The sequence below is a fragment of the Homo sapiens genome, chromosome 2 (genome assembly GCF_000001405.40).
Source record: "Homo sapiens chromosome 2, GRCh38.p14 Primary Assembly".
Lineage (NCBI taxonomy): Eukaryota > Metazoa > Chordata > Mammalia > Primates > Hominidae > Homo > Homo sapiens.
In genome coordinates, this window is record NC_000002.12 from 217,651,713 (window position 1) to 217,679,543 (window position 27,831).

Here is a 27,831-nt window from a genome sequence, read left to right on the forward strand (position 1 = left end):
TGATACCACAGTATGAGCCATAGATTTCTGTCTTCCTCCGTCCAGCACCTGAGCCTTGCCTACCTTTTGCCACATGCAGAGGAGAAGCAAATCACAAAACGTGTCTCCCTGCCTCCTGCTGGCATTCAACAGACCTCACCTAGGGCTGCAAACTGGAGCTATGAAGACCCAGCAGAGTATGTTTTGTCCCCTATGCCCACAGTGGCATCGCTGGGACGACCACACATTGGAGTACCACCTCCACTCCAAGGAAAAGCAGGGGAGCCACAGAAACAAATTCTCCACTGCTGCCCTTTGAAACCATGCTTTGAAATGTCCACCCAATTTACCCCCTTTCTGATCTAAATTCTACACCAGAGTAGGGGACACATAGCCTAGAAGGAAGGGCTGCTGTGACACTGGAAGCTCCTTAAAGACCAGATTTTTTTCATATGTGTCTCCCGTCCCAAGGCACAAATATGAACTTGCATCTGAAGCTGAATAGCTCTTTAGATAACGCATGCTTGCATTTATTCTCTTTGCCTTTCGCATAGTAGACATTCAGTGAGCCTATCAGGACTGGAGTGGAATGGAATTAGATTGGGAGGAAGCTGCCAGTTGAAAAGTCACTTTTTCTAAAAAGCCTTCTCCTATTCCCCTGGAGAGAGGGAGATGCTTTTTATTCCCTTCTCTGTGTTTCCACAGCTCTTGGTGCTTCTATTTCATCCCCTGTCATGCCGAGTTGCAATTTATGTTTCCTTTCTGCCTTCCCAATATACCAAGAACCTGCCATATGCAAAGTCGCCATGTCTTTTTCATTGTTGTATCTCCAGGCCTGGTACCCGTAGGTGTTCAAAGGATAAGTAAATTAATGAACAAACCCTAGCCTAATGGAGCAGCTTTTCAATCAAAATGAATTATAGCTCTAAGTGCATTAACCTTTAGAGGTAAATAGATGAATAAGAAATGTGCTAAAGGGCACTGTAAAGGGCATCAATTTCACCCTTAGCACTGTAAAGGGCATCAATTTCACCCTTCCAATGTAGGAAAAAACCTTCCAAAGGATTCCAGATTTGAATCCTTGATTTAAATACCCCCTGAATTCAGAAGTTTATTGCCTTAGTAAAACAGTCCATTTCACTGTTAGACAGCTTTAATTATTCAAATGTTTTTCCCTCTAGTCAGCTTAAACCTTCCTTCTAATAATCCCTTTGTGGGCTCTGGTTGCAGCCTCCAGAGAAAACATTGCTAAAATACTTCTAATCCATAGCAGAGATTCTAGAAGATGCCATGGTCCTCCACCCCGGACTACTTCTGATCTGTTGCCTATGGCAAGTATCTTGTACATCACACATCCAGTGCATTTTGCTGCCCTTAGCTAGGATTATCAAATATCCATTCTAGTCCATTCTGAAGAATATCCACAAAAAACAAATCCAACCTATTTCTCTATTTTTGGTCCTAGGGCTGAAACATCTTAGATCTCAGTTCTAACTTAAATTCTTTCCTTTTTTATTTTTTTTAAGTCTCTCTATTCTTTCAGTGAAGAAAGAACTTTTTTGGCTCCTATCCACTCTGTAAAGAATAACTAAGTCCTCTCTTTTTCTCCTCCCCGAAAACATGCCCTTGGCAACCCAGCCTTCTCTTTTATGAGCTGACTCATAGGTTCTGAGTGAAAAAAGCCCTTCCTTAAACACCCTCTACTGCCACGTGTGGATGAGGCTGCAGTATCCCAGTGACCAATGGAGCCAGGAAGTCGTGGCTCTGTGAACTGTGCCAGCATGACCCAGGACACTTCATGAGTCCCTTGTGCCCAAAACGTCACCACTTGGGCAACTACGTGTGGAAGCACCACCTCCACTAGGGGCTGGAAGGACGTGAGAACCAGCAGGTCTCTCCTGGCAGACCTATTGTAGGCTCCAACCCTCCCATGCTGGCCAGCCCTGAAGAGCACCAGCCCCCATGCCATGAACTTAATTACTTTGCAAGAGGACAGTTTGTAGCTGGACTTCCTCTTTGTTCTCACAGAAAGCTGAGAGTGGGCACCAGAACAAAGGCGGGTTTTTGCAAAACACAGGCAGGAGAGAACCCATGCTGCAAATCTGGGTCTGGGTCCATGTGTGGAAGGGATTGGGGAAGCACAAGGATGGGGCTCAGAAGGAACTGAATCCCTACCTGAGTGCTCATGCAGTGCCCTACCTGAGATCCCATTAGACCCAGACATAGCTGAACTGATTTACGCAAGCTTAGAGAAAAAAGTGTCTTGAGGGCTTCTGTCTCCCATCTCCCTGATTTTAGAAGACGATTTTTTTAAAGGTATCTTCTTTTCTATTTTTTTAAAATGTAGTAAGTTGAAAGGGGTGTGAAATTTGCATTGCTCACCTGATCAAGAGCTTTAACCCTCATTATTAGAATGTTCTTTATGTCTAGCCTAAATCCCTAAAGCTACTTCATGAGGTAAGTCTATGGAGTCTCATAAGTGGTTACTGGGGCATCCTTTAATGTGATAGATCAGGACTGATGGTCCTCTCACTCCTTTGGCTCCCCCTCCTTACCTATCTGAGAAGAAATTCCTTTGGCGTATGAACTCTGTGAGGTCATGTTGAGAGGTCACCAGTATTAGCAAGGGAAAGGCTTACGTGTGGAATCTGTGCTCCACACTGAGAAACCTGAACTAGCACCACCTACTTCTACAGAGGTCTGGAGGGCTTCTCTGACTCACAGTGGCCAGGAAGGGTGGGGAGAGAGTCAGAGGGAGTGCCCCAAAGTAGGGACGAAAAGAGAAAAGGAGACAAGTGCGAGGAGGGACTCCTTGGTGCCTATCCAAGCCTGGCAATCTATGGGCTGAAAGATAATTCTGCAGGTAATATAATCTTTGTCACTACCACCCCACACCTTGGCTCTGTGTGTTTGCAGTTACACAAAATTCTTTACTTCCTGAAATGGCCGCAGCTGCTCTCTCTTCTTCAGGGCATGATACGCATATGTGTGGGTCCTTCCTGTATGTCAAGGTCACTTCCAAATCATCCTTGGTTTTCTTTCTCCAGGATGGCTCTCTATTCTTTACCTTTCATCCCAGAAGTTTTAAAGAAGGAGGAGGAAAGGAAACTCATGAATTGAATGTCTAGCGTGAACTAGGAAATGAGAGAAAGCCTTACATAAATGTTTTTCTTTCGTCCTCCTAGCCACTCTCAAAAGTAGGTGAAATTTTATCACCAGAGGGTTAACAACTTCTCTCGATGAGGAAAGTGAGGCTGGGAAATAAAACGAATGGCCCAGGGTCACAGAGCTGGCAAGTGGTCATTGTCAGATTAATCCCTGGATCTGTCAGACTCCAAAGACACAGGCTTCATGGTGCTCCACTAGCTTTGAGTCTCCTCTACCAACCCTGACCCGCTTCTATGTCCCCCACAGTCCTTTAGCTCCACCATGGATCTCAGTACCTCACTTGGATCAGAGCATACAGAGAAAACAGCTTCATGTAGCCAACGTGGCTCAAGATAACCCCTAGCTCTGGGACCAGACTTATGCATGAGACTGGAGGAAGATCCCAGGAGAAGATCAGGCATCTCAATGGAAACTTTAGCCATAGCCCCAGAGGCTCAAGGATGAGGAAGGGGCCCTACCTCATGTGATACTTGATTTTCTCTGGAAATCACTGTGTGTGGTACCCATGGCCCAACCTCCATAATTACCATAGTGTATCAGGAAGATACATTTCCCAAATGTAGTGTATTCCCAAAACTCTGTTTTCCTCTTTAAAGAATAACTGTGACTCCTAGAGAAATCTCTGGATATATGTAATGCTATGAAGACAATAACCAGGCCATAGAATCACAGACTATCAAAGCTAGACAGGATCTCAGAGTTCACCCAGCCAAACCTCCTTATTTCAGCCCTGGGAATTAATAACTCAGAAAGGAAAAGTCTCCCACAACTTAGACTGTGGCAGAAAGTGAGCTCAATCCCAAGTGTCCCAGATCAAGTGACCTAGTTAGGTTTCCTTCCAGCTCTTGGGTGCCATGGTGGCAGTAGACATAGCTGTTACAGGAAACCAGGACCAAACTCAAGCACTTTCCACTATCTGGGAATGAAGTCCTGGCTTTCTCCAAACATTGCCAGGCTTCCTCCCATGCCAGTGTCATCCTTCCCCTGGGACCCAGCCAGAGAAGATTTCTGCTCCCTTCCTGATCTCCAATGTCACAAAACCACAGCCTCAGCTTGTATTCTTCCCCACTGTTACTACACTGTCTGGGTCAAAGGAGGCAGAAAGAAGACTGCACTGGGGTAAGGCACTCAAAATGGCAGGGTGGTGAGCTCAAGGACAGAGTTAGGGCTCACAGAGTGAGACACGGGAGGCCAAGTTCTCTATGCAGAGCTTTGGGAAGATTAATAACCATGGAGGGAACTCCATCAAACTACAGGGAGTCTATTCCTCTATTATCATAGAGCTCTTTGACCCTAACTCATGGGACCCCTTTTTCAAGACACAGGACTCCCTTGACAGACTCTGACTTCAGATTTGTGTTTGTTTGTTGTTAGTATCAAGAAGAAAAGAGCTTAGCTGAAAAGACGGGTTTTTTTTGTTTTTGTTTTTGTTTTTAAAAACTCACCTGGGGAGGGCCCAGGCCACTTCATCAGGCCACAGTTTGCCTAGGAGACCCTCCTGGGATCCTGACACCCAAGAGTCCCCTCCCAGCCCACAGAGCAGGCTGGTCCTCCGTGTCCTGGGGTGTGTGAGCTTCCCCCAAGTTTGCCTGCCGCCCACTGACTTCCATGTCAGGTTACAAAACAGCAGCCAGCTCACAGTTTCCCTAAACATGCTCAAATATTATCTTACCATGGAGGGGGGTTATCTGACACAAACATCTTGCCACGTAGCTCAGAAAAATAGCCTGACAGCCACAAAAAGGTAAATAGAGACATCAAACTCATGCCAGCAGGGCCAGCAGCAACACAGCCCTTGACCTGGAAGTTCTAGGATAGTTCTCAACAGTTCTCAAATGTAAACACTTCTCCTCCTCCTGTTTCCCCCTCTTCTCCCTCTCTGTTTTCTTTCCTAAGGATTAAGAGATTTCATTTTCATTGTTCCATAGATGCAAAGGGAGGTCTTTCTGAGCCAACAACAAGTACTGTGTGTTCCTTACGGTTTGGAAATCACTTGAAACACTGTGTCCCCTCCCCGCCAACCATCCCACGCTGTACCCCAACCTTCGGAGTCCTCCTATCAGAGTCCCCTGAAGGCTGCTGCAGAAGCAGAGTCTTTTTCCAGCCCACCTGACCATCTGAAAGTCAGAGCAGACCAGTGGATATATTGCCTTTCTATTTGAGATAAGGGATGAGTGCTTATGAGTTGGGTGATAGAAGGAAGGAAGAGACAGGGCTTCCTCTAAGACCTCTTTCAAAGCCCCCATGTCTCCACACACCTTTGAGGCCGGGTTGGGATCCTGACTGCCTGAGTGGGGGCTAAGGGTGACCACAGGCATTAGGCAGCCTCTCTTCTCTCTTGGGCCGGCTGGCCCCTACTAAGTAAGCTTCTGGAGGAAGCAAAGGTAGATGTCAAGAGCTCGAGCATAGCCAAGAAGAGAGAGCAGGGTCTTGCCGAGGTCTGGTTATTCTCCATTTGCCCGACAGTTCGCTCCAGATCCATTTTCTACTCTGTTCTATGCCCTGGGAGCATGATCCCTGGAAACTACTTCTCCCATTGCCTTCTGGCTCCAGCTGGACTGAGCCAATGGCACTCTCCGGGAGGTGACTGGAGAGCAGCAGAAGAGAGAAGCCCCTTCTTGTTGTGCTGCATTTTTGGCAGCAGCCATGTGTGTCCACAGCACCGGCTCCCCCAGACAGCCCATCCTCCGCAAGCCCAGCTCTCGCCAAGCCCACAGAACACTGATTCCTCCACTTGCCTCTGCAGCCCTAGAAGCGATCACTGCTTCTTGCTGCTGCTAGTCTCTGGTGCCTCAACTTCCCCTGTGTGCTCCTTTAACATCCTGCCCACACTTCTGTAGCAGCCTCTTCATTTAAGTCTTTTTGTTTGAACCATCTTGGTACACCTGGTATGTTCAATGCAAGTGTGGAGGTTAAAATAAGGGGCTAGGATGTTAACCCCACAGAGGTCATACTGTGATCAGGAAAGAGTAGAAAGTTTAGCCAGGCTGATACTTTCATCCCAGATGACTACTGGAGATGGCTCTAGAACAGTGGTTCTCAAAGTGCGATAACCAAATTAGCAGCATCGGCATCACCTGGAAACTTGTTGGAACTGCAAACCATGGGGCAATACCCCAGACCTGCTGAATCACTAAGTCTGGGAGTGGGATCCAACAATCTTAGTTTTAACAAGATTTAGTTTTATGACTGTAATCCCAGCACTTTGAGAGGCCAAGGCAGAGAGATCACTTAAGCCCAGGAGTTCAAGACCAGCCTGGGTAACATGCAGAAACCGCATCTCTACAAAAAATACAAAAAAAAAAAAAAAATAGCTGGACATAATGGCAAACACCTGTAGTCCCAGCTACTCAGGAGGCTGAGGGGGGAGGATGGCTTGAGCCTAGGAGGCTGAGGTTGCAGTGAGCCGAGATCACACTACTACACTCCAGCCTGGTTGCAGAGCAAGACCCCGTCAAAAAAAAAAAAAATTTAGTTTTAACAATATATTTTAAAATTTAATTTTAACCATCACCTGCAGGTGATTCTCATACACAATAAAGTTTGAGAAACACTACTCTGGAACCTGAAGAGTTGTGGACACTATTGGGAAGCACCTCTCTATCTCTGCTTTCCCTGCCTATTTTCTTTCCCATCCTGAAGGGAGGCAGATAAGAAAACAGAACAACCAGATTTTCCCCACAGAATCACAGAAATTGGGGTCCTGCCTTTGGTCATCCAAAGATGACCCTGCAGATGGCATTTACCACCTGGGTGGTAGCTTAGGCTGAAGAGGCCACTATGAGTGGACAGCCCTTTGCCATACTGTAGAAAGGGAACAGATGCTTTTGACGTGGTCAGTAGCTGGTGCTCCCCATGTCTGCTGCTCTCTCAGATTTATGGCACATAAACACTTTAGATCAGTCCAGACTCTTTGTTCTCAAACGCATAAGTCAACAGCACCTTTGCTGCAGATTCTGCCTAACTACTGTCTTCCAGCTGTGCCCAGCTGTGTCCCACAGACTGAAGTGCTGTGCTTTGTAATGGTTAGGAAAGTTTTGCACCCTCTCTCTGCTCACATGTGGCCTATTCTCACCATCTCTATACCAGCTGCTTGGGAGCCAGTTCACATTTGTAATGGAAACATTGGACTCTGAGGAAAAGACAGGCTGCAGTTTAAATCCATTGTACCAACTGTGTCCATAACCAGCAACTTTACTTTGCACCTGTTTCCTTCATTCATAAAATGGGGTAATATCCATCTTTCAGGGTAGGCTAGGAGTTAATTGAGGTGACATGCATACAATGCCTTAGCACAAGAAGTGGCACATCCTAGGTGTCAATAAAAACTTTCCCTTTCTTTCCACTCCTGCTCCTTGCAGACCAGTACCCTGTATTTTCTATGATGAAGTGTGGAGTGTAGTAAATGGGACAGGACCTGCAGTTAGAATGCCTGTGCTTGTCCCAGCACTGCCACTTACTATCTGTGACTCTAGGCAATCTATTTAACTTTTATCTGCCTCAATTTTCTCATCTATAAAATGGGGATGATAACAGTATCTACCTTGCTGGAGGATTGTCATGTTTAAATCCTAACATATATAAACCTAGTGTATCTAGTTAACACTCTGAAGATGTCAGCTATTATTGTTCATTATTAATAATTTATTATTAAGATGAATGTAATTATTCATTATCAATATTATTACTATATATTCCAAGTGAAAAACTGAGACACAACACCTACCAGTATGAGCCAACAAACAGTGACAGTGGGGCAGAATATTTGAAACTGGGGCTACATGAATGTGCCTCTTTGTATCTTGCTCATCCCTGCCTGTGTTTGAAAAAAAAAATTAATATGAATCTTGAGTGAGAGTTTAGGAAGATGGAGGGAAGAAGACCAGCAAAGAAGGCACGAAGAACGTGGATGGACCTGAAGGACATTATGCTAAGTAAAATAAGCCAGGCACAGAAAGACAAATACAGTATGATCTCACTTATATGTGATATCTAACAAATTTGACCTCATAGAAACAGAGACTAGAAAGGTGGTTATCAGAGGCTGAGGGGGAGGAGGTGGAATGGGAAAGAAGATGTTGGTCAATGGGTACAAAGTTTCAGTTAGACAGGAAGAATAAGATATTTTAGTGATCCATTGCACTGCATGATGACCACAGTTCCTAATGTATTGTATAGTTCAAAAATGCTAAAGGAATAGATGTTTAATGTCCTCACCATGAAAAACATTGCTAAGTTGGCAAGGTGATAGATATGTTAATTAGATTAACCCTTTCTATAATATATACATAGATCAAAACATCACATGGTACTCTCTTAAATAAACACAATTATTATTTGTTTTAAATTAATAAATTTAAATTTTTAATTTTAAAAAAGAATCCGGAAACGAGGAAAAGAGCGCCTAGATTTGGCTGGTGGTTAGAGAAATGGTGAAGCCGAGTCAGATCCAAGAATGGGGACTTTGAAAGGTTTTTGCCAACAAGTATTTCTCAGCAGAGAGTTTTTCCATTGTCTGAAGAAGAACCGGTCTGTTTTCCATCCCTCAGTCTCTGCAGAGATATTGTCACCACCACCCACTTTGTTCATGTCCTTCTTTACCCTTAAAAGACTTTGCTTCTTTCTTCTCCTTCCAAATCCTTCAGAATCCAGCTCTATTCCCACTTCCTCTGGGATACTCCCTGGTGGGCCTGTCCCTCTCCTGTACCCTCCTACATAGACCCCCTTGTGGCTTGTGGTCAACTCCACACCACTTAGCACAAATTTGTCTTCATTCCTAGACACTTTGTTGTGGTTTCACACATGCAAATCTTCTTCCCCAAACCAGTCAGCTTCTTTCCAAGGGCAAGAACCATATCTTCTATTAGCTTCTGGGCCCAATGACCTGAAAGAAACCAGATTAAGCCCCAAAGGAAACATAAAGGGTACATACAAAAGCTTTGAATACCAACTGGATCCTTTGCACTAGGTCTTTCCATCAAGATCTGTGTCCTTAGCTACTGGATTCACTCTTGTTCTCAGATCCCAGACACAAGGGAAAACAGAAAAGGAAAATGCAGCATCGTCTTCTTTTTCCATTTTAGGAACTCACTTCTTGCATATTGGCCTGGATCCTAATCCTACCCCTTAAAAGCCTTGGATTCTCCACTCCCCAATATAGGACCAGTATTCTGCAGTTCTCCTTCCTCCTGCAGAAGAACATCATTAGACAAAGGTGTGGAGAAGAGGTCTTTCTCTTCAATGTTCCTCCCTATTTTCCCTTAGCCACAAATCAGTAGAGAGATGTTAGATGGCAGAGTCAGATTGCAATATGAGTCATAACTAACAAACAAAAGAATTACTATTCAATTCTTAATAAATAGGAATTAATTCATTAAACTAAATTCTGAACTTCAAATTTAAAAAAATCAAGTGCAAAAGCATAGCGGGGTAAAAGATAATTTAAGTTAACTGCAGGTGTAAGACAAGACAATAATAAATAATTTCTCTTAAGAAAGTTAATGCAGCTGGGCTGCATCAACAAATACCTAATGTTCAAGACTTTAGAGGTGATATTTCTACTTTATTAGTGCATTGGTCAGATTGGAAGTAGAACATTTGGGATTTAAAAAGGAGGGCATAGACCATAGCCAGAGGAAGACAAGGCCAAAAATGGGTCTATAAACCACATCACAAAAAGAATGCTAGAAGAAACTGAAAGTATTTTGCTTAGAGAAGAAAAGTCTCATGGGGAAATGATCCCAGTTTTCAAATATTTCAAAGGTTTTCCTGTAAGAAAGAGACAATTTATTCTGTTACTCTGGAATAAGAGGAAGCAGATCTCAATAGGAGAGGAAAGTTACTTTAGTGCTTTAAAAATAAAATGGGTTACTTTGTGAGGTTCCCACCACTGGAAATATTAAGCAAACACAGTCCTTTCAGAAGCCTGCTACTTCCTCCAAGAGTTCAGTGTCTCCTTGCTGTTCTTGGGCTATTCAGGTTGCCCCGGTGGTGGCAAAGGAGATCAGGCCACAGACAAGAGATCGAGCCTGCTCCTGCTAAGCTTACATATCAAGCTCTCCATCCCTTGGCCCAGCGAGGATGCAGTGTCCCTAGATAAATCAGACAGGCTGAGGCTTGCTGATTAAGCCTAATAGCTAGCTGATAGAAGACACATACACCCTGTCTGCCCCCAGAAAACAAAAGACCATAGGGCAAAATGTTTAATGATGCCCCCCAAATACTTTGCTTCCTGGGGTAACTCTAGGCATCTAGGAAGGTATGGTAGAGACATTCAGAGGTCTAAGATATCCACTTTGGTTTGCTAGAGCACCTTAGGAGTGATTTAGTGATTTGCATTAACTTTCTTAATAGCAGTGATTTGGCTGGGCACAGTGGCTCATGCCTGTATTCCCAGCACTTTGGAAGGCCGAGGTTGGTGGATCACCTGAGATCAAGAGTTTGAGACCAGCCTGACCAACATGGTGAAACCCCGTCTCTACTATATACAAAACATTAGCCAGGAGGTGTGGCATGCACCTGTAATCCCAGCTACTACTTGGGAGGCTGAGGCAGGAGAATTGCTTGAACCCAGGAAGCGGAGGTTGCGGTGAGCCGAGATTGCACCATTGCACTCTAGCCTGGGCAACAAGAGTGAAACTCCATCCCCAAAAAATAAATAAATAAAAAAGGAGCAATGATTTATGATTGCCATGCCTTGCAACTTCAGTTGACTTTCACCATGCTGTGCTTCTGCACTTGATTTTGTTTGAAGTTCATAATTTAATACTAATTCCTATTTATTCAGAATCACAGCAGGAGTGATTTACTATCTCCCTCCCTTTCCATGAGGGAGATAGTTATTAAAAGCCAAAGCTTAGGAAGGTCAGGCAGTGGCTCCATAAGCTGAAACCCCAGCTCCGCTGCCTACTAGCCATGTCACCTTGGGCACTTTACTCCACCTATCTGTGCCTCCCTTCCTCCTCTACAAAATAAGAAAGTTGATCTTCATAGTACCTATGATGGTTGATTTCATGTGTCAACTTGACTGGGCCACACATTTGGGCAAACATTATTCTGACTGTTTCTGTGAGGGTGTTTGCATGAAGTTAACATTTAAATTAGTAGACTAGGTAAAGCAAGTTGCCTTCCATAATGTGGGTGGACCTTATCCAGTTGAAGGCCGGAATATAACAGGAGACTGACTCTCCCCTGAGTAAGAAAAAATTCTCCTACCCAATAGTCTGTAGAGCATTGGCTCTGCAGATCTTGCCAGTCTCCATCATTACTGGGGCCAAATCTGTCTTTATTTGCTCTGTTTCTCTGGAAAACTGACTCATATAGTAACTATCACAAGAATTTATGTTGAGATCCATTAAGAAAATGCAACTGAAACCCTTTTTCTATATATCAGGTCTAGAGTAAGCCCTCAATAAATACAAGCTATTTTTTTTTAGTAAGGTTGTTGCTTGAGGAGCAAAATCATCTAATTGGTTTTATTTGGAGGGGAAGAGAAACACTTGTAAACAGGGCTGGAATGACTGTGGCCAGATATGTTCACACCCCTAGGTGGGGAATGACTGCAGCCTGGACATCAGCTGTGTCCTCAGAGGCTCTTAAAGTCTCACATCCAAGTTCTTTCCTCGACGACAGATGTACCTGCCAGATCTCTGAGTAGTTGTAGCCACACACCCTGGACTCAAGCAGGCCCCTCTTTGAGAAACATAATGGCACAGCCCTGAGACAAGGAGGGGAAGAGAGGTCCCCTGGCAACAAATCCACTGAATTTCCCAAAAGATTCCTTGCTATGCCCATCCTTCCTGAATCCAAGACCAAAGCCTTTTTCCAAACCCTGGATATCGCACAACTGCACCCCATGACCTCTTCCTCGTTTGTCTCCCTGAATTTATAAACCTGAAGCCTTTGCCTGAATCTACCCTGCCCAGTGACATCTACCCATCATTCCAGGAAGGGCTCACATCCACCTCAACCCTTCCCTGAAGTTCTCTGTCCACCCCAGTCACTTCAACCACCAATTTGCCCCTTGCCAGGCCCTCTTGTATTATTTGCACAGTCAACTCTCCTTGGGTTTGCACCCACTGCCTTTTCTGAAACACTTTACAAGCTCTTTAAAAATGGCCACTCCATGTCTTGCACCTTTCGCATCACCTAACACAGTCCCACATCTCTTCAATTGTTTGACTGATGATCCATGCCTTTGCAACCCCTTAGCCATCAGCAGCTCCACAGTTAGTTTTCTCTATCTGAAGCACTGACTGCCAAACCTGAATGAGTGTCAAAAATCACCTGGAGAACTTTTATAAATTAAAGATTCCTGGGCCTCACCCCAAACCCACACAATCAGACCCTCCAAGGATGGGACTTTGGAATCTAAATGTTTTAAAAGGTGCTCAGGTGATTCTAATGAGCTGCTGGTTTGGGGGACCACTACTCTTAGAGATATAGAAGCACTTTCTTGTGCTTTTGGACTGAACCCACCTCCAATGAAACTGAGTCAACTCATCCAAGACCATGTGTAAAACCCATCCTCCGGCTGGGTGTGGTGGCTCACGCCTGTAATCCCAGGAGTTTGGGAGGCCCAGGCGGGCAGATCACGAGGTCAGGAGATCGAGACCATCCTGGCTAACAGGATGAAACCCCATCTCTACTAAAAAATACAAAAAAAAAAAAAAAATAGCCGGGCGTGGTAGCGGGAGCCTGTAATCCCAGCTACTCGTGCTGGGGGAGGCTGAGGCAAGAGAATGGCATCAGCCTGGGAGGCGGAGCTTGCAGTGAGCCAAGATCATGCCACTGCACTCCAGCCTGGGCCACAGAGCAAGACTCTGTCCCTAAAAAAAAAAAAAAAAAAAAAAAAAACCAAAAAAAAAAAAACATCCTCCACTCTTATCAGACCAGCCTTCCTGTGGAACCCCACACGGTTCTCCTGTCCCATGCTTTTCTCTAGACTTCACTGTCTGCCAAACAACCTCCTTATATTCCTCCTTCCTGCTACCTCTCTTCCTCCCATGAATGTAAACAACCCTCCCCTCCTTAGCATCCCAGTTCCAGTCCCCTCCTGAGTGGACCCACATGTTGGCACTGTCTCTGCCTGAGTCTTCCCAAGCAGCACGCTTTGCCAACAATGACTTGGGTTGAACTAAAGAAAATTTCTTAGCATTTATGCTGACTATTTAAGGAGAATTTGTTGATGTATTCTTTCCAAGATAAACACTCAAGAATATGGTTGATTAGTAGAATATGCTCAAAATTCTACTAGTGGTCTGCATTTTACCTTGCAACAAGTTCTCAAAGGGGGAAAAAATTCTTCATTTAAAGAACTTTAGTACATTTGAGAGCATGGATAGAGTTTCCAAAAAATGAGATCTTCCTGAATGAGGTCTCCAGTTCAAACAGCCAGCAGCCTTTATCTTTGCCTGCTCATGACAGGCTTGGTGTGCACTGAATTCTAGAATACCAAGGTTGGAAGGAACCTTCAATATCATTTTCTCCAGGAGCTGACAGATTCACAAAAAGTTCTTAGGACACAAACCAAGTGTTTGGAACATTCTTAAAATTTATTTTGTTGGTCTGTACCACTGTACTCAAAGGCCATACTCCCTGGCTTATCCACCAGGATATGAACACAGTGCCGTTCTAAGACTATATTAACCCTTGACACACTTGTGCCAGCAATTTGAGAAATTCAACCAGGGATTATTGATTCTCTACAGTACATTGACATCTGGGACCTGACAATCATTTGTTGTGGGCAGGGTTGGTGGGTGGGGCTGTCCCATACATTATAGACTGTTTAGTAGTACCTCTGAACTCTGCCTCCCAAATGTCATTAATAACAACACCACTCCTAGGGGACAAACTAATCCCCAATGAGAATCACTGCTCTATAGTGTGCTATACAGCCCCCATCCTCCAGGAGTTCTCAGTACAGATAGGACATCGACGTCTGTGCCAATCCTCATCGAACCTTGTGATAAACTCTGTATCAGGAACATGGAGAGGAAGAAGGAGCCCCCAACTCTGCCTAGGAGAGTCAGAAAAGGCTTCACAGAAGGGGCAGCTTTTGGAACAAGTCTTAAAACGAAGAAGGCATTCCAAGGGAAGAGTATTCCAGGCAAAAGGAGCAGCTTATACCAAAAGTGTAGAATAACATGGTGCATTCAATGAATGGAAAACTGATGAGACTAACTAGAACTTAGAGCCCATAGTGAGAAGTGACAAAGCCAGAAAGAATTAACGAAATCGTTGCCAAGTCCTCTTGACCCTTATGTCCACTCCTCACTTGACTGAATCTGCATTCATTTCGGAGCATGAGTTATAGGTATAGGAAGTGCAGGTAGATGGGGGCTGCATCACGTACTATCAACCTCAGTCTTAAAGTTTTCATTCATTGGTCCCCTAAACTGAAGACATTTGAGCCACTACATTGCAGATTAGAATGCTGACTGTAATAAACAAGATCACCACGAGCACCTGTCTCATGAAAGCCAGCACCACTCAAACACCTTTCTAGGATTGTCAGCTCCCAGAAGTGGGTAGTGGAAGTCTGGTACAGGCAGCCATTGCTGTTGCCTGATATAAACGAGGAGACCTAAGGAGGCAGCAGTAGCCTAGGAGGAAAGATGGTGATGTAGGAAAGAGGCCCCTGGACTGAGGGCTGGGACACCAGCTTTAGCCCAGCTCTTCTGCTAACTTTCTGAGTCACTGAAATTCCCCAGACCCGTTTCATCATCTGTAAATGGAAAGCATTACAATAACCCTCTACAAGGCCTCAGTGCAGCCACATCACCTTGCTAGTCCTCAGTTCCCCCAGATATTCAATGTGGGGACTGAATTATTCCAATGGTTTGAAGCCTTTTTTAATCCCAGTGTCCTCCAGGAATGACCTGTAGGAAAGCTATGCCTTCCCTTCATGCCCTGGGAAGATGGGCACCTAGGCAATTTCATTATTCATTTCAGGGCATTCTTAGAATTCTCAGGAGCTCCAGGTTAAAACCCTTGGACTAGGTGGTTTCTAAGGTCTCTGCCAACTCTGGAATTCTATGAACATGATAGCTGTGGCTCTGACCCAAAGAGCTTGCATCCAGGTGTGCCTGATGGGGAGGTTTAGAGAAGGAAGTACTTGACAACAAAAGAATGAATCTACCCTGTCAGAAGGGATACAGTTCTTGCCAAAAAAGAGCAGCTCTCTGACATTAGCCATTGCTTCTGGCCTTCCCAAACATTCCAGCACTCCCATCAAGCAAACTACCTCTGCCTCCTTCATAGCTTCTTCTACCCAGCTTGCCAGCCGGTCTCTGTATCTCCTCACTCATCACCCATTCACTCTTGTGTCCTCCTGTACATGAACAGAATTACAGTGAAATCACTACATCTCGGTATCTGTACATTTTTTCATGTTTGACTTCTCCCCTTTTCTTTGCATCATCCCTAACAGCTCACTCAGACCCTGCCCAATTCAGACCCCTTGTCAATGTGGGGCTAGAGAGGATGACCTCTGGAAAACCCCAGACAATTGACATCCATCTGATTCTATGTCACTGAGGAATCCAAAGAAAAGAAAATGTTTATTAAAGTCAGTGAAGTCTAACAAGAAGGTGGGGACAAAGGGAGCTTCTAAATTCCAGCACTCTCCCCTTGGAGGTAGGGTGGAAAACCCAGGCCTTCCTGCTGGAAGTCATCAGATCCCAGCTGCTCCAGTGCCAGAAATCAGTGGAAATGTATATATATTTTTAATACACTCACATTGCAAATAAAAACAGTTTTACATCAATACAGGGGTTGGCTGAAATGTGTTCCAACTCTACTAAGCAAGGAATGAATTGAAACGCCTATAATAACATCAAGCAAGGCAGTCCCTCTGCCAAACTTGGACAGAGGGGAATTTGCACTGCCAGAGAAAATCTGTTCTTCATCAGTGTTTCAATATTCAAGGAAGCCGGGGACATTTTTCTGTGACGGAAGCAAAATGCCAGCTGCCAATACTATGATTTAATTCCCTCTTTTTTTCCTCTCTCATTGGAAATAATTGTCACAAGAATTTGGTGGGCCATAAAGGCCTTGTATATAAGAAAGATTATACTGAAATGGAGGGACGAGAAATGTGGGGAGGGATAAGGAAGAGAAAGAAATGTAAAGTGGGAAAAGAGGAAGGTGGGAGTTAAAAAGAGGTGGAGGAAGAGAGGAATGGGGTGAGAGGAGCAATGGTGGAGAAACAGGAGAAAGTTCAAGAAAAGCAGAAAAATAACAGTGGAAAGGCGAGAGAAAAATGAGAAGAACGTGAGAATGAGAAGGGTGAGTAGAATAAAAATCACAAATAGAGAAGGGAAAATACAAAAAAAAAGTCAGAGGTGAAAGAAATCTTAAAGAGTGTTGGGTCAGTCTCCTCTCAGGTGTCAGGTAGGAGGCCAAAGGGTGAAGTTATTTGCCCGAGACCAGACGGCATGCCCAAGGTCACTGAGCTCAGAACAGAGGACCAGGACCTCCTCACTGCTGTCTAACGCTCTTCACTCTTGAGCAGGTGGCAAGCAAGGCAAAGAGACAGGGGAATTAAGAAGAAAAAGATGAGAACTTGCATGTGTGTACATGTGGATACATCACTTGGCTTCTTCAATCACCTGTATTGTGTAATCTAATCCATTCTAAAATCTAATACAATCTAATAGTCAAAGTTTCTTGATTCTTAGACCCCATGGGCTTCTCATGAAATGTATCTAAGCCCTGGAGAACGCTATTTTCTCTGTCATCAAATCGCACGTGGTGGAATCAGGGAGCTGAAGAGAATATCGGGATGTTACTGGGCTAATGTAACGCCACTAAGTGGACCTCTAAGGACCCCTCTGGTGGGGAGGGGCTTCTGGCTTCCCATGATCATAGGTTTACTGACAAGAGTCAGTTCTGTGTGCCTAGAAATCCCAAACTCCAGGACCCCAGTTCTAGCTGTGGAAGTCATCCCCTTCAAGATGAGGGCCTTTCTGGCTTAGGCATTAGCTACTAATTTTCAATCTATCATTTATTTAATAGTATCATACTAGTGTTCATTTATTTCTATAATGGCACCATGACTGTTTAAGATGTTAAAATTAGGGAAATCTGGGTAAAGGATATGCAAGAGCTTTCTGTACTATTTTAGCATCTCCTCAAAAACAAAACAAAACAAAACAAAACAACAAAAAAACTTCATAGTGATCTCAATGGCTAGATTTGGATTTGGAAGTGTCCATCATTGCCCACATCCACAGCCCCTGCCCCCTGGCCAATGATTTACCTCTCTTTTTCCCCCTTCCTTAGTTCCTTACACACACACATGTGATTACCATGGGCTGTTCACCCAAGCTCTGTCCACAACCCCCAGACCCCACAAATAGCCTCTTCTTGGCCATCTCTGGGATCTAGGGATCTGTACACTGGCAGTGTAGTCCACCCTGAGAGGATAGACCCAGGGAAGGCTCAGGGCCATTTGAGCAAGGATTTCAAGGAGTTGGGTACTAGGAACATGGTCTAGAAGCTGGTGCAAACCATAGGTTTCAGGGAGGCAAATCCCTTGATGTTGCCCCCTGAGAAGGATGTAAGAAGAAAACAGCCAGTGTAGGGCCTTCTTAAGTGTGAGACCTAGGGCAGGGGTGCCATTCACCCAGGTCTAAGGCTAGGACTGTCTCTACCTTACTACCCACCTGCTGGCTAGCCCAGGCTCAGTGGCAGTGTAGGCAAGAAGAAAATGGAAAATCCATTCTGGTCATACAATCACTCTTAAGTAATTTGGACAGAATCTTAATGATGGTGTTTGCCATATGTTGCTGAAGGGTGTCTTAGTTCATTCTGTGCTGCTATAACAGAATATCTAAGACTGGGTATTTAAAAAGAATGGGAATTTATTGGTTTCTGAAAGCCAGGAAGTTCAAATGCATGGCACCAGCATCTGGTGGTGGCCCTCTTACTGTGTCATCTCAAGTGGAAGGCAGAAGAGCAAGAGAGAGTAAGAGTAACGAGACGGCTGAACTCATTTTTTAATGAGATGCCTGGTTCCATAATAATGGCATTAATTTATTCATGTGGCAGAGCCCTCATGACCTAATCAACCTCTTGATGGTCCCACCTCTCAACACTGTTGCACTGGGGATCAAGTTTCCAACACATCAACTTTAGAGGGACATGTTCAAACCACAGCAAGGAAGAATCAATATTTTCTCTTCTACACTCTTAAAAGCCTCTTGGGCCATGATTCATTGACTTGGAATCGCTGAAGCTAGCAAAGTGCTTGGCATATAATTTATGGTGAATAAATGAAGGAACACTGAACAGCTATTTTCACTGTAATGATATAAGTATCATCATCAAGATAAATAGTAGATATGATTCTACAGAAGTACAAAGAAGTACACATAGCCTGGACTGGAGGGGTGAGGATGGGATTCTGAATAATCTTAAAGAATGGATTGGGATTAGTCACGAAGTAAAGAAGGGCATTCCAAGCAGAGGGAAGAAATTGTCATGGCATATTGGAATGATTGTGGCAGAACAGAATTTAAGTGTCATGAAGGAAGCCAATCACTGTATGTATCCCCAACACCTTGCACAAGCAGGCATCTAGTAGATTGAATATATGTATTAGGTAAATGATGAATATATGTATTAGGTAAATAAGAGAATGCGGGTCATCTCTTTTCAAAACCATAGAAAGCTTAACAATATTCTAGTCCAGGGACTGGCAAACATTTTCTGCAAAGCGCCAGATAGCAAATATTTCAGCCTTTGAAGGCTATGTAGTGTCTGTCACAACTACTCAACTCTGTTGTGTCCCATGAAAGCCACCATGGATGACAGGTAAATGGCGTGAGTGAGTTCTAATAAAACTATATTTATAAAAATGGGCAATGGGCAAGGAATCATAGCTTGCTGACCACGGCTCTAGTCCAACACCTAGAGCACAGGTGGTTGATGGCGGCACTTAAACTAAATATTAATGTCCCAATATAAGTGTTTGGACTGAGAGTAGCACAGATGTTTCGAGATAAGAGAGGTAACTGTAGGCCTCAGAAACCAGGAACATATTCACAGAGGAAACAGGATTCCAATTAGGCCTAGAGGCTCAATGCAGTCCAAAAAATGAGAAGACAAGATGTTGAAAAAAGAACACACACCTGGTAGTTGCCTGTCTTTTCACCAATGTATTTAGGTTCTAGCTGTGCTTCCCTGAACCTAAGGTAGAGGAGGAGAGGGAACAAGGGTAAAAGCAAAACCACATTCTAGGACAGCATGTCAGGCCAAAGAACAGACACAACACTGTGTCTCCTAAATGGGGATTTGGGGAGTTGAAAGGCCTTAGTCTCTGGGCGAACAACACAGAGACACAGAAGCAGCCAGTCTGGCAGATGGAAAAGCACAGCCTGATCTACTGCCCAAGAGGGGAACCAGCCCCTGGTCAGAATCTCCCTCTGCATTTCAACTGAGAGAGAATGCACAGTCTCTTGGGACCCCAGATGTGAAAAGCCATTGTAAGTTCATTCTGGCACAAAGTCATTTTACAAATTGAGAAACTAAGTTCTAGACAGAAGAAACAACTTTCCCAAGGTCACAAAGCAAGTGAGTGGCCAGGGTGATTCTGAGTCTTAAAGCTGGCCTCCCAATTCTCTGTAGACCCTTCTCCGACATCCTGCTGAAGCTCCCCACCCCCACCCCCATCCCAGTGCAGGCATTCTAATGATCTTTTATATATAGACATACAGGTGTCTAGGCTTTGGATGTAAAAATCTGTAAGACATTTCATCAGCATTGACTCTATCTCCTATTAGATCATAGTCCCTTGAGGTGATGGGTGGCTCATCTGCTCTCTCTGGCTCTGTGAAGACAGGTCTCTGCACTCACTGTGAGGAGGCCAAGTCCTGCACTTCTCAGACCTGCTTAGAGAACCCTGCCCTTCAGGAACCATCCCCAGTTTCACTCCATCCCCAAACACAGGAGACTAAGCCCTTTTCAATTCCACATCAACTACCTGAGCTCCTACTAATGCTCTGATTAGAATTATTTGTGTTCAAGAGTATCTGTCTTGCCCACTAGATTGAGAACTCCTCAAAGGCGAGAATTGTGTCTCAGTTATCTCTGTACTTCTGGCCATGAGTCTGACACATAGATAGGTGGTATTAACTGAGGGTTAAGTGGGTTATAGCCTCCAGAGGGCCAGGAGAGCATAACCAAGAGATTAAGAGATTGTGTCAACTGGAAAAAAGGCAATCCTGAGTTCAAATTCTGACTCACATGCTATTTAATCTCTCTGAGACTTAGCTTTCTCATCGGAGTCATTGTCAGAGTTAAATGAGACAATGCTGCTGGTATTGGTGGCAATGAGGGCTGGTTCCCTTCTTGGGCAGCAGATCAGGCTGTGCCCCTCCATCTGCCAGAATGGCTGCTTCTGTGCCTTTGTGTTGTTCACCCGGAGACTAAGGTGGTATTAACTGATGGTTAAATGGTTATAGCCTCCAGAGAGCCAGAAGAGTATAGCCGAGAGATTAGGAGATTGTGTCAACTGAAGAAAAAAAAAAAAGGCAATCCTGAGTTCAAATTCTGACTCACACACAGAAGGTATTTAATCTCTCTGAGACTTAGCTTCCTCATTGGAGTCGTTGTCAGAATTAAATGAGACAATGCTGCTGAAGCCTTTGGCAGAACACCTGGCATTCAGTAAACACTCTATCAATGTGCTGGAAGACCAAAGTCAGGCTGCCAGTATCATGGGTTGGGCTGTGGATGAGCTGGTTAGTTCACACTGGGCTGTCTCGCAGTTATCTTTATTTAGGTACAGGGAGAGCTTGAGCAGAAGATGGATGAGGTAAATCCACCCATGTGACCAGAAAAACTAGAAAATCAGGCCCCACTCAACTCCTGAAGGAAATAACCCAGGGTACGCCCAGTCCCAACAACCAGGCCAGTGGCCTCTCTAAACCAGGCCAGCACAATGCTGCAGGCTCTCCAAGCCTCCTGCTAGTTGACAGAGCCCCACACACTTTCCAGAGAGCTGGCCCTCTATATTCTCCAGCTAAGACCCTTATATCTCAGGCTGGCTGGTGACAATGGTGAGATACATTGGGTAGCTGACAAAGAAAAATAGACTTTTTTTAAAGAAATCAACACATCAACACCTGTTAGTCAAAGCTAACTGAATTCTAGCAGCCTGTGAATGCCAAAAAAGCGGGGGGAAAAAAGGCATGAAAGATGGATCATGGAAGGCAATGACAGAGACAGAGGTCTCAGAGCAGATGGCCTGTATAGTCATGGACTGGGTGGGAGGTGAAGGTAGCAGTTCACCTGGGGAGTCCGGTAACAAGGTCAAAGCACAAAGTTGTGGCAGCTAAAGTCTGGACCAAATCTCTCCCAACTGCATTAAGATTACGAAAAGCAGAAGGAATAGGTAAGTAAGGGATAAACTAAAATCAAATTCGAGCCCCCAAACAAAACAAGTGCAACAACAACAAGAAACCTTTTAAGAGAATAAAATCTAAGCAAATTAAATTTACATGCAAGAATTTAACTGGATAAAGCACACTTCTGAAATACAAAGTCAAAAGGCTAAGATGTAACTAAGCATAGACCTTCAGGGTCTAGCTCTGTGGAAGTAAAGCAGTGGTGTGCTGGAAAAGTTGGTCTCACCCATGCCCTCCCCACCAAAAATGTCCCCTTGATTTGCAGTATTTGCTAATTTCCACGCTGTGAACATTTCCACCATAGCCAGTTTTAAGCCACAAACATGAATATCACTGAGCTCAGAGTTGGGAAGAAATTTAACAATAGGCTCTTGCAAAACCAGTACAAACTGCCAGTGGAAGAAAGCTGAACTTGGGAAGCACAAAGAGAAGCAAGAGCATAGTAGGTATGCAACCCCCAAGTGCTCAACAAGAAGCAAAGGAAGGAGTAATGAGATCAAAGACCTTTCAAGCTCTCCCCCAAAATAAACAGTCAAATCTAGGATCAGATCCAGACTCTGCTACCCACTGGCAACAAGACCTGGGAAAATTCCTTAATCTCGCTTAGTTTCAGTTTCCTCAAGTGCAAAATGAGGCAAATAACACTGAGGAAGGGATGTTGTCAGAATCGGGAGAGATCGTGACTGTAAAGCACAGTGATAGGCACTTGGGTGACGCTGAGCAATGATCACACTCTATTCCAGCAATGCTTCCCATGCTCCTTCTTCTGGACCCCACTAGAGCTTTGTAAATGTGCTAGTCTACTGTGACAATATGTTTCCTGGAACAAGTTCTCATTTCAAATATTCTTTGTGCCCTTTGTGCCCATTCATTTCATAGAGTCTTGATTTGAGAGTTCATAAAATATGTTCAACATAATATAAAATATATTCAACATTGTAGAAGAGACATTTATATATGGATCTGTCTTCTTCTACAAGCTATGAGCCTCTTGTAGGCAAGGATATGTGTTACTTTTTTATCTTTATCCTCAATTATTAGCCCAGTATCCAACATAGAGTGGGGTCTTGGTAGATATTAATTGAGGAAGGAAAGTAGGAAGGAAGGAAGGAAGAAACTGGTTTGTCTCTGTCACATGACATTAGTGAAAAGAGAAGACATTTTGGCATCAGCTAAACCTGGGTTTGAACCCTGGTTTTGTCTTATAATGGCCAAGTTAATAATACCTTGAATAAAATATCTATAAAATAAGATAATTTCTGACTCATAGCATTGTTGTGAAATGACAGTTAAGAATGTTATGCATTCTGCAGATTTTTTAAATTGCAATATAATTTACATAAAGTAGTCCTTTAGGTATATACCCAGTAATTGGATGGCTGGGTCAAATGGTATTTCTAGTTCTAGATCCCTGAGGAATGGCCACACTGACTTCCACAATGGTTGAACTAGTTTACGGTCCCACCAACAGTGGGACTGTTCCTATTTCTCCACATCCTCTCCAGCACCTGTTGTTTCCTGACTTTTTAATGATTGCCATTCTAACTGGTGTGAGATGGTATCTCATTGTGGTTTTGATTTGCATTTCTCTGATGGCCAGTGATGGGGAGCATTTTTTCATGTGTTTTTTGGCTGCATACATGTCTTCTTTTGAGAAGTGTCTGTTCATGTCCTTCGCCCACTTTTTGATGGGGTTGTGTTTTTTTCTTGTAAATTTGTTTGAGTTCATTGTAGATTCTGGATATTAGCACTTTGTCAGATGAGTAGGTTGTGAAAATTTTCTCCCATTGTGTAGGTTGCCTGTTCACTCTGATGGTAGTTTCTTTTGCTGTGCAGAAGCTCTTTAGTTTAATTAGATCCCATTTGTCCATTTTGGCTTTTGTTGCCATTGCTTTTGGTGTTTCAGACATGAAGTCCTTGCCCATGCCTATGTCCTGAATGGTAATGCCTAGGTTTTCTTCTAGGGTTTTTATGGTTTTAGGTCTAACGTTTAAGTCTTTAATCCATCTCGAATTAATTTTTATATAAGGTGTAAGGAAGGGATCCAGTTTCAGCTTTCTACATGTGGCTAGCCAGTTTTCCCGGCACCATTTATTAAATAGGGAATCCTTTCCCCATTGCTTGTTTTTCTCAGGTTTGTCAAAGATCAGATAGTTGTAGATATGCGATGTTATTTCTGAGGGCTCTGTTCTGTTCCATTGATCTATATCTCTGTTTTGGTACCAGTACCATGCTGTTTTGGTTACTGTAGACTTGCAGTATAGTTTGAAGTCAGGTAGTGTGATGCCTCCAGCTTTGTTCTTTTGGCTTAGGATTGACTTGGCGATGCGGGCTCTCTTTTGGTTCCATATGAACTTTAAAGTAGTTTTTTCCAATTCTGTGAGGAAAGTCATTGGTAGCTTGATGGGGATAGCATTGAATCTGTAAATTACCTTGGGCAGTATGGCCATTTTCATGATATTGATTCTTCCTACCCATGAGCATGGAATGTTCTTCCATTTGTTTGCATCCTCTTTTATTTCATTGAGCAGTGGTTTGTAGTTCTCCTTGAAGAGGTCCTTCACGTCCCTTGTAAGTTGGATTCCTAGGTATTTTATTCTCTTTGAAGCAATTGTGAATGGGAGTTCACTCATGATTTGGCTCTCTGTTTGTCTGCTATTGGTGTATAAGAATGCTTGTGATTTTTGTACATTGATTTTGTATCCTGAGACTTTGCTGAAGTTGCTTATCAGCTTAAGGAGATTTTGGGCTGAGACAATGGAGTTTTCTAGATATACAATCATGTCGTCTGTAAACAGGGACAATTTGACTTCCTGTTTTCCTAATTGAATACCCTTTATTTCCTTCTCCTGCCTAATTGCCCTGGCCAGAACTTCCAACACTATGTTGAATAGGAGTGGTGAGAGAGGGCATCCCTGTCTTGTGCCCGTTTTCAAAGGGAATGCTTCCAGTTTTTGCCCATTCAGTATGATATTGGCTGTGGGTTTGTCATAAACAGCTCTTATTATTTTGAGATACGTCCCATCAATACCTAATTTATTGAGAGTTTTTAGCATGAAGTGTTGTTGAATTTTGTCAAAGGCCTTTTCTGCATCTGTTGAGATAATCATGTGGTTTTTGTCTTTGGTTCTGTTTATATGCTGGATTACATTTATTGATTTGCGTATATTGAACCAGCCTTGCATCCCAGGGATGAAGCCCACTTGATCATGGTGGATAAGCTTTTTGATGGGCTGCTGGATTCGGTTTGCCAGTATTTTACTGAGGATTTTTGCATCAATGTTCATCAAGGATATTGGTCTAAAATTCTCTTTTTTTGTTGTGTCTCTGCCCAGCTTTGGTATCAGGATGATACTGGCCTCATAAAATGAGTTAGGGAGGATTCCCTCTTTTTCTATTGATTGGAATAGTTTCAGAAGGAATGGTACCAGTTCCTCCTTGTACCTCTGGTAGTATTCGGTTGTGAATCCATCTGGTCCTGGACTCTTTTTGGTTGGTAAGCTATTGATTATTGCCACAATTTCAGCTCCTGTTATTGGTCTATTCAGAGATTCAACTTCTTCCTGGTTTAGTCTTGGGAGGGTGTATATGTCGAGGAATTTATCCATTTCTTCTAGATTTTCTAGTTTATTTGCATAGAGGTGTTTGTAGTATTCTCTGATAGTAGTTTGTATTTCTGCGGGATTGGTGGTGATATCCCCTTTATCATTTTTTATTGCGTCTATTTGATTCTTCTCTCTTTTCTTCTTTATTAGTCTTGCTAGCGGTCTATCAATTTTGTTGATCCTTTCAAAAAACCAGCTCCTGGATTCATTAATTTTTTGAAGGGTTTTTTGTGTCTCTATTTCCTTCAGTTCTACTCTGATTTTAGTTATTTCTTGCCTTCTGCTAGCTTTTGAATGTGTTTGCTCTTGCTTTTCTAGTTCTTTTAATTGTGATGTTAGGGTGTCAATTTTGGATCTTTCCTGTTTTCTCTTGTGGGCATTTAGTGCTATAAATTTCCCTCTACATACTGCTTTGAATGTGTCCCAGAGATTCTGGTATGTTGTGTCTTTGTTCTCGTTGGTTTCAAAGAACATCTTTATTTCTGCCTTCATTTCATTATGTACCCAGTAGTCATTCAGGAGCAGGTTGTTCAGTTTCCATGTAGTTGAGCGGTTTTGAGTGAGTTTCTTAATCCTGAGTTCTAGTTTGATTGCACTGTGGTCTGAGAGACAGTTTGATATAATTTCTGTTCTTATACATTTGCTGAGGAGAGCTTTACTTCCAACTATATATATATATGTGGTCAGTTTTGGAATAGGTGTGGTGTGGTGCTGAAAAAGATGTATATTCTGTTGATTTGGGGTGGAGAGTTCTGTAGATGTCTATTAGGATCCCCTTGGTGCAGAGCTGAGTTCAATTCCTGGGTATCGTTGTTAACTTTCTGTCTCGTTGATCTGTCTAATGTTGACAGTGGGGTGTTAAAAGTCTCCCATTATTATTGTGTGGGAGTCTAAGTCTCTTTGTAGGTCACTAAGTACTTGCTTTATGAATCTGGGTGCTCCTGTATTGGGTGCATATAGATTTAGGATAGTTAGCTCTTCTTGTTGAATTGATCCCTTTACCATTATGTCATGGCCTTCTATAAAGACACATGCACACGTATGTTTATTGCGGCACTATTCACAATAGCAAAGACTTGGAACCAACCCAAATGTCCAACAATGATAGACTGGATTAAGAAAATGTGGCACATATACAGCATGGAATACTATGCAGCCATAAAAAAATGATGAGTTCATGTCCTTTGTAGGGACATGGATGAAATTGGAAATCATCATTCTCAGTAAACTATCGCAAGGACTAAAAACCAAACACCGCATGTTATCACTCATAGGTGGGAATTGAACAATGAGAACACATGGACACAGGAAGGGGAACATCACACTCTGAGGGCTGTTGTGGGGTGGGGGAGCGGGGAGGGATAACATTAGGAGATATACCTAACGCTAAATGACGAGTTAATGGGTGCAGCACACCAGCATGGCACATGTATACATCTGTAACTAACCTGCACATTGTGCACATGTACCCTAAAACTTAAAGTACAATAATAATAAAATAAAATAAAAAATAAAAATTTACATAAAGTATACAAATCTTAAGTATGACTCTCAATAATTTTATATATAACTTATGTAGCCAAATCAAAATATAGAATATTTCCATCAGCCACATGAAGTTCCTAGGGAAGTTTTAAAATGTGGCTGCAAAGTCTTTGAAACTCCTTTCATTGAGAGGTGGGTACTATGTCCCCTCTCTCTGAATCTGAGCAGGATCGTGACTTCCTTGACCAATAGAATACAGCAGAAGCAACACTGTGTGACTGCCAAGGCTAAACCAGTAAAGGCCATGCAGGTTCTACCTTATTCTCTGGGACACTCCCTCTTGGTGTCCTGAATACCAAGTAAGAACCCTGATCATCCAAGGTTGCCATGTTGAAAAGGCCACATGTAGGCACTCCAGTCAAGAGTTCCAGTTGAACCCAGCCTTCCAACCAGCCTGCCAAGATGTCAGACATGAGGGAAGCCATCTTGGACCCTCAAGACCAGTCTATCTATCAGTGCCACATTAAAAAAAAAGAAGACTTACTTAATCAAGCCCTGTCTGAACACCTGACTCACAAAATTGAGGGGTAGAATGTGCTGGTTGTTGTTTTTAGCCACCAAGTTTTAGGGTAGTTTGTCACATAACAATAGATAAATGGAACAGTTCATACTTTTCCTTTCCCAGTCAACAGTATCCCAACTCCTCCCCTGAAATTATGATATTTCTAATGTTTACCACCATAGACTAATTTTTCCTGCTCTCAAACTTCATATAACAGAATCACCCAACATGAACTGTTGTGACTACCGTCTTTCACACAATAGAATGTTTTTGAGAGTCATCTATGTTGTATCAGTAACTTTTTATTGCTGAATAGTACTCCATGTTATTAATATACTATAACTTATTTATCTGATCTCCTGTTGATAGACATTTGGGGTGTTTCCAGTTTGGGGCTTTTACTAATAAACCTGCTTTCCCAGAAAAGTCTTTCTTCTACATAAATTTTCATTTCTCCTGGGTATATGTCTGGGAGTAAAACTGTTGCATCATAGACTAGGTATATTTGATATTTATTTGAAAATGTCAAACAGTTTTCCAAACTGGCTATAGTATTTTAGGCTCCAACAAGCAGCATATAAGAGTTCCAGATGCTCCACACCCCACCAACACTTCTTAT

The 27,831-nt window shown here is 43.2% G+C and overlaps 1 long non-coding RNA gene across 12 annotated transcripts in view, besides 1 other annotated feature; it reads right to left on the reverse strand.

Moving 5' to 3' along the window:
* The window catches only part of DIRC3 (disrupted in renal carcinoma 3), a 506,425-nt gene that overhangs the window by 367,694 nt on the left and 110,900 nt on the right, over positions 1 to 27,831 (reverse strand). The window lies entirely within an intron of this gene.
* Positions 14,738 to 14,787: an enhancer, noted in NCBI's record as "active region_17105". NCBI's record gives its function as "activates an Ori minimal core promoter by ATAC-STARR-seq in GM12878 lymphoblastoid cells {active_cell/tissue: GM12878}" and the evidence as "EXISTENCE:reporter gene assay evidence [ECO:0000049][PMID:35858748]".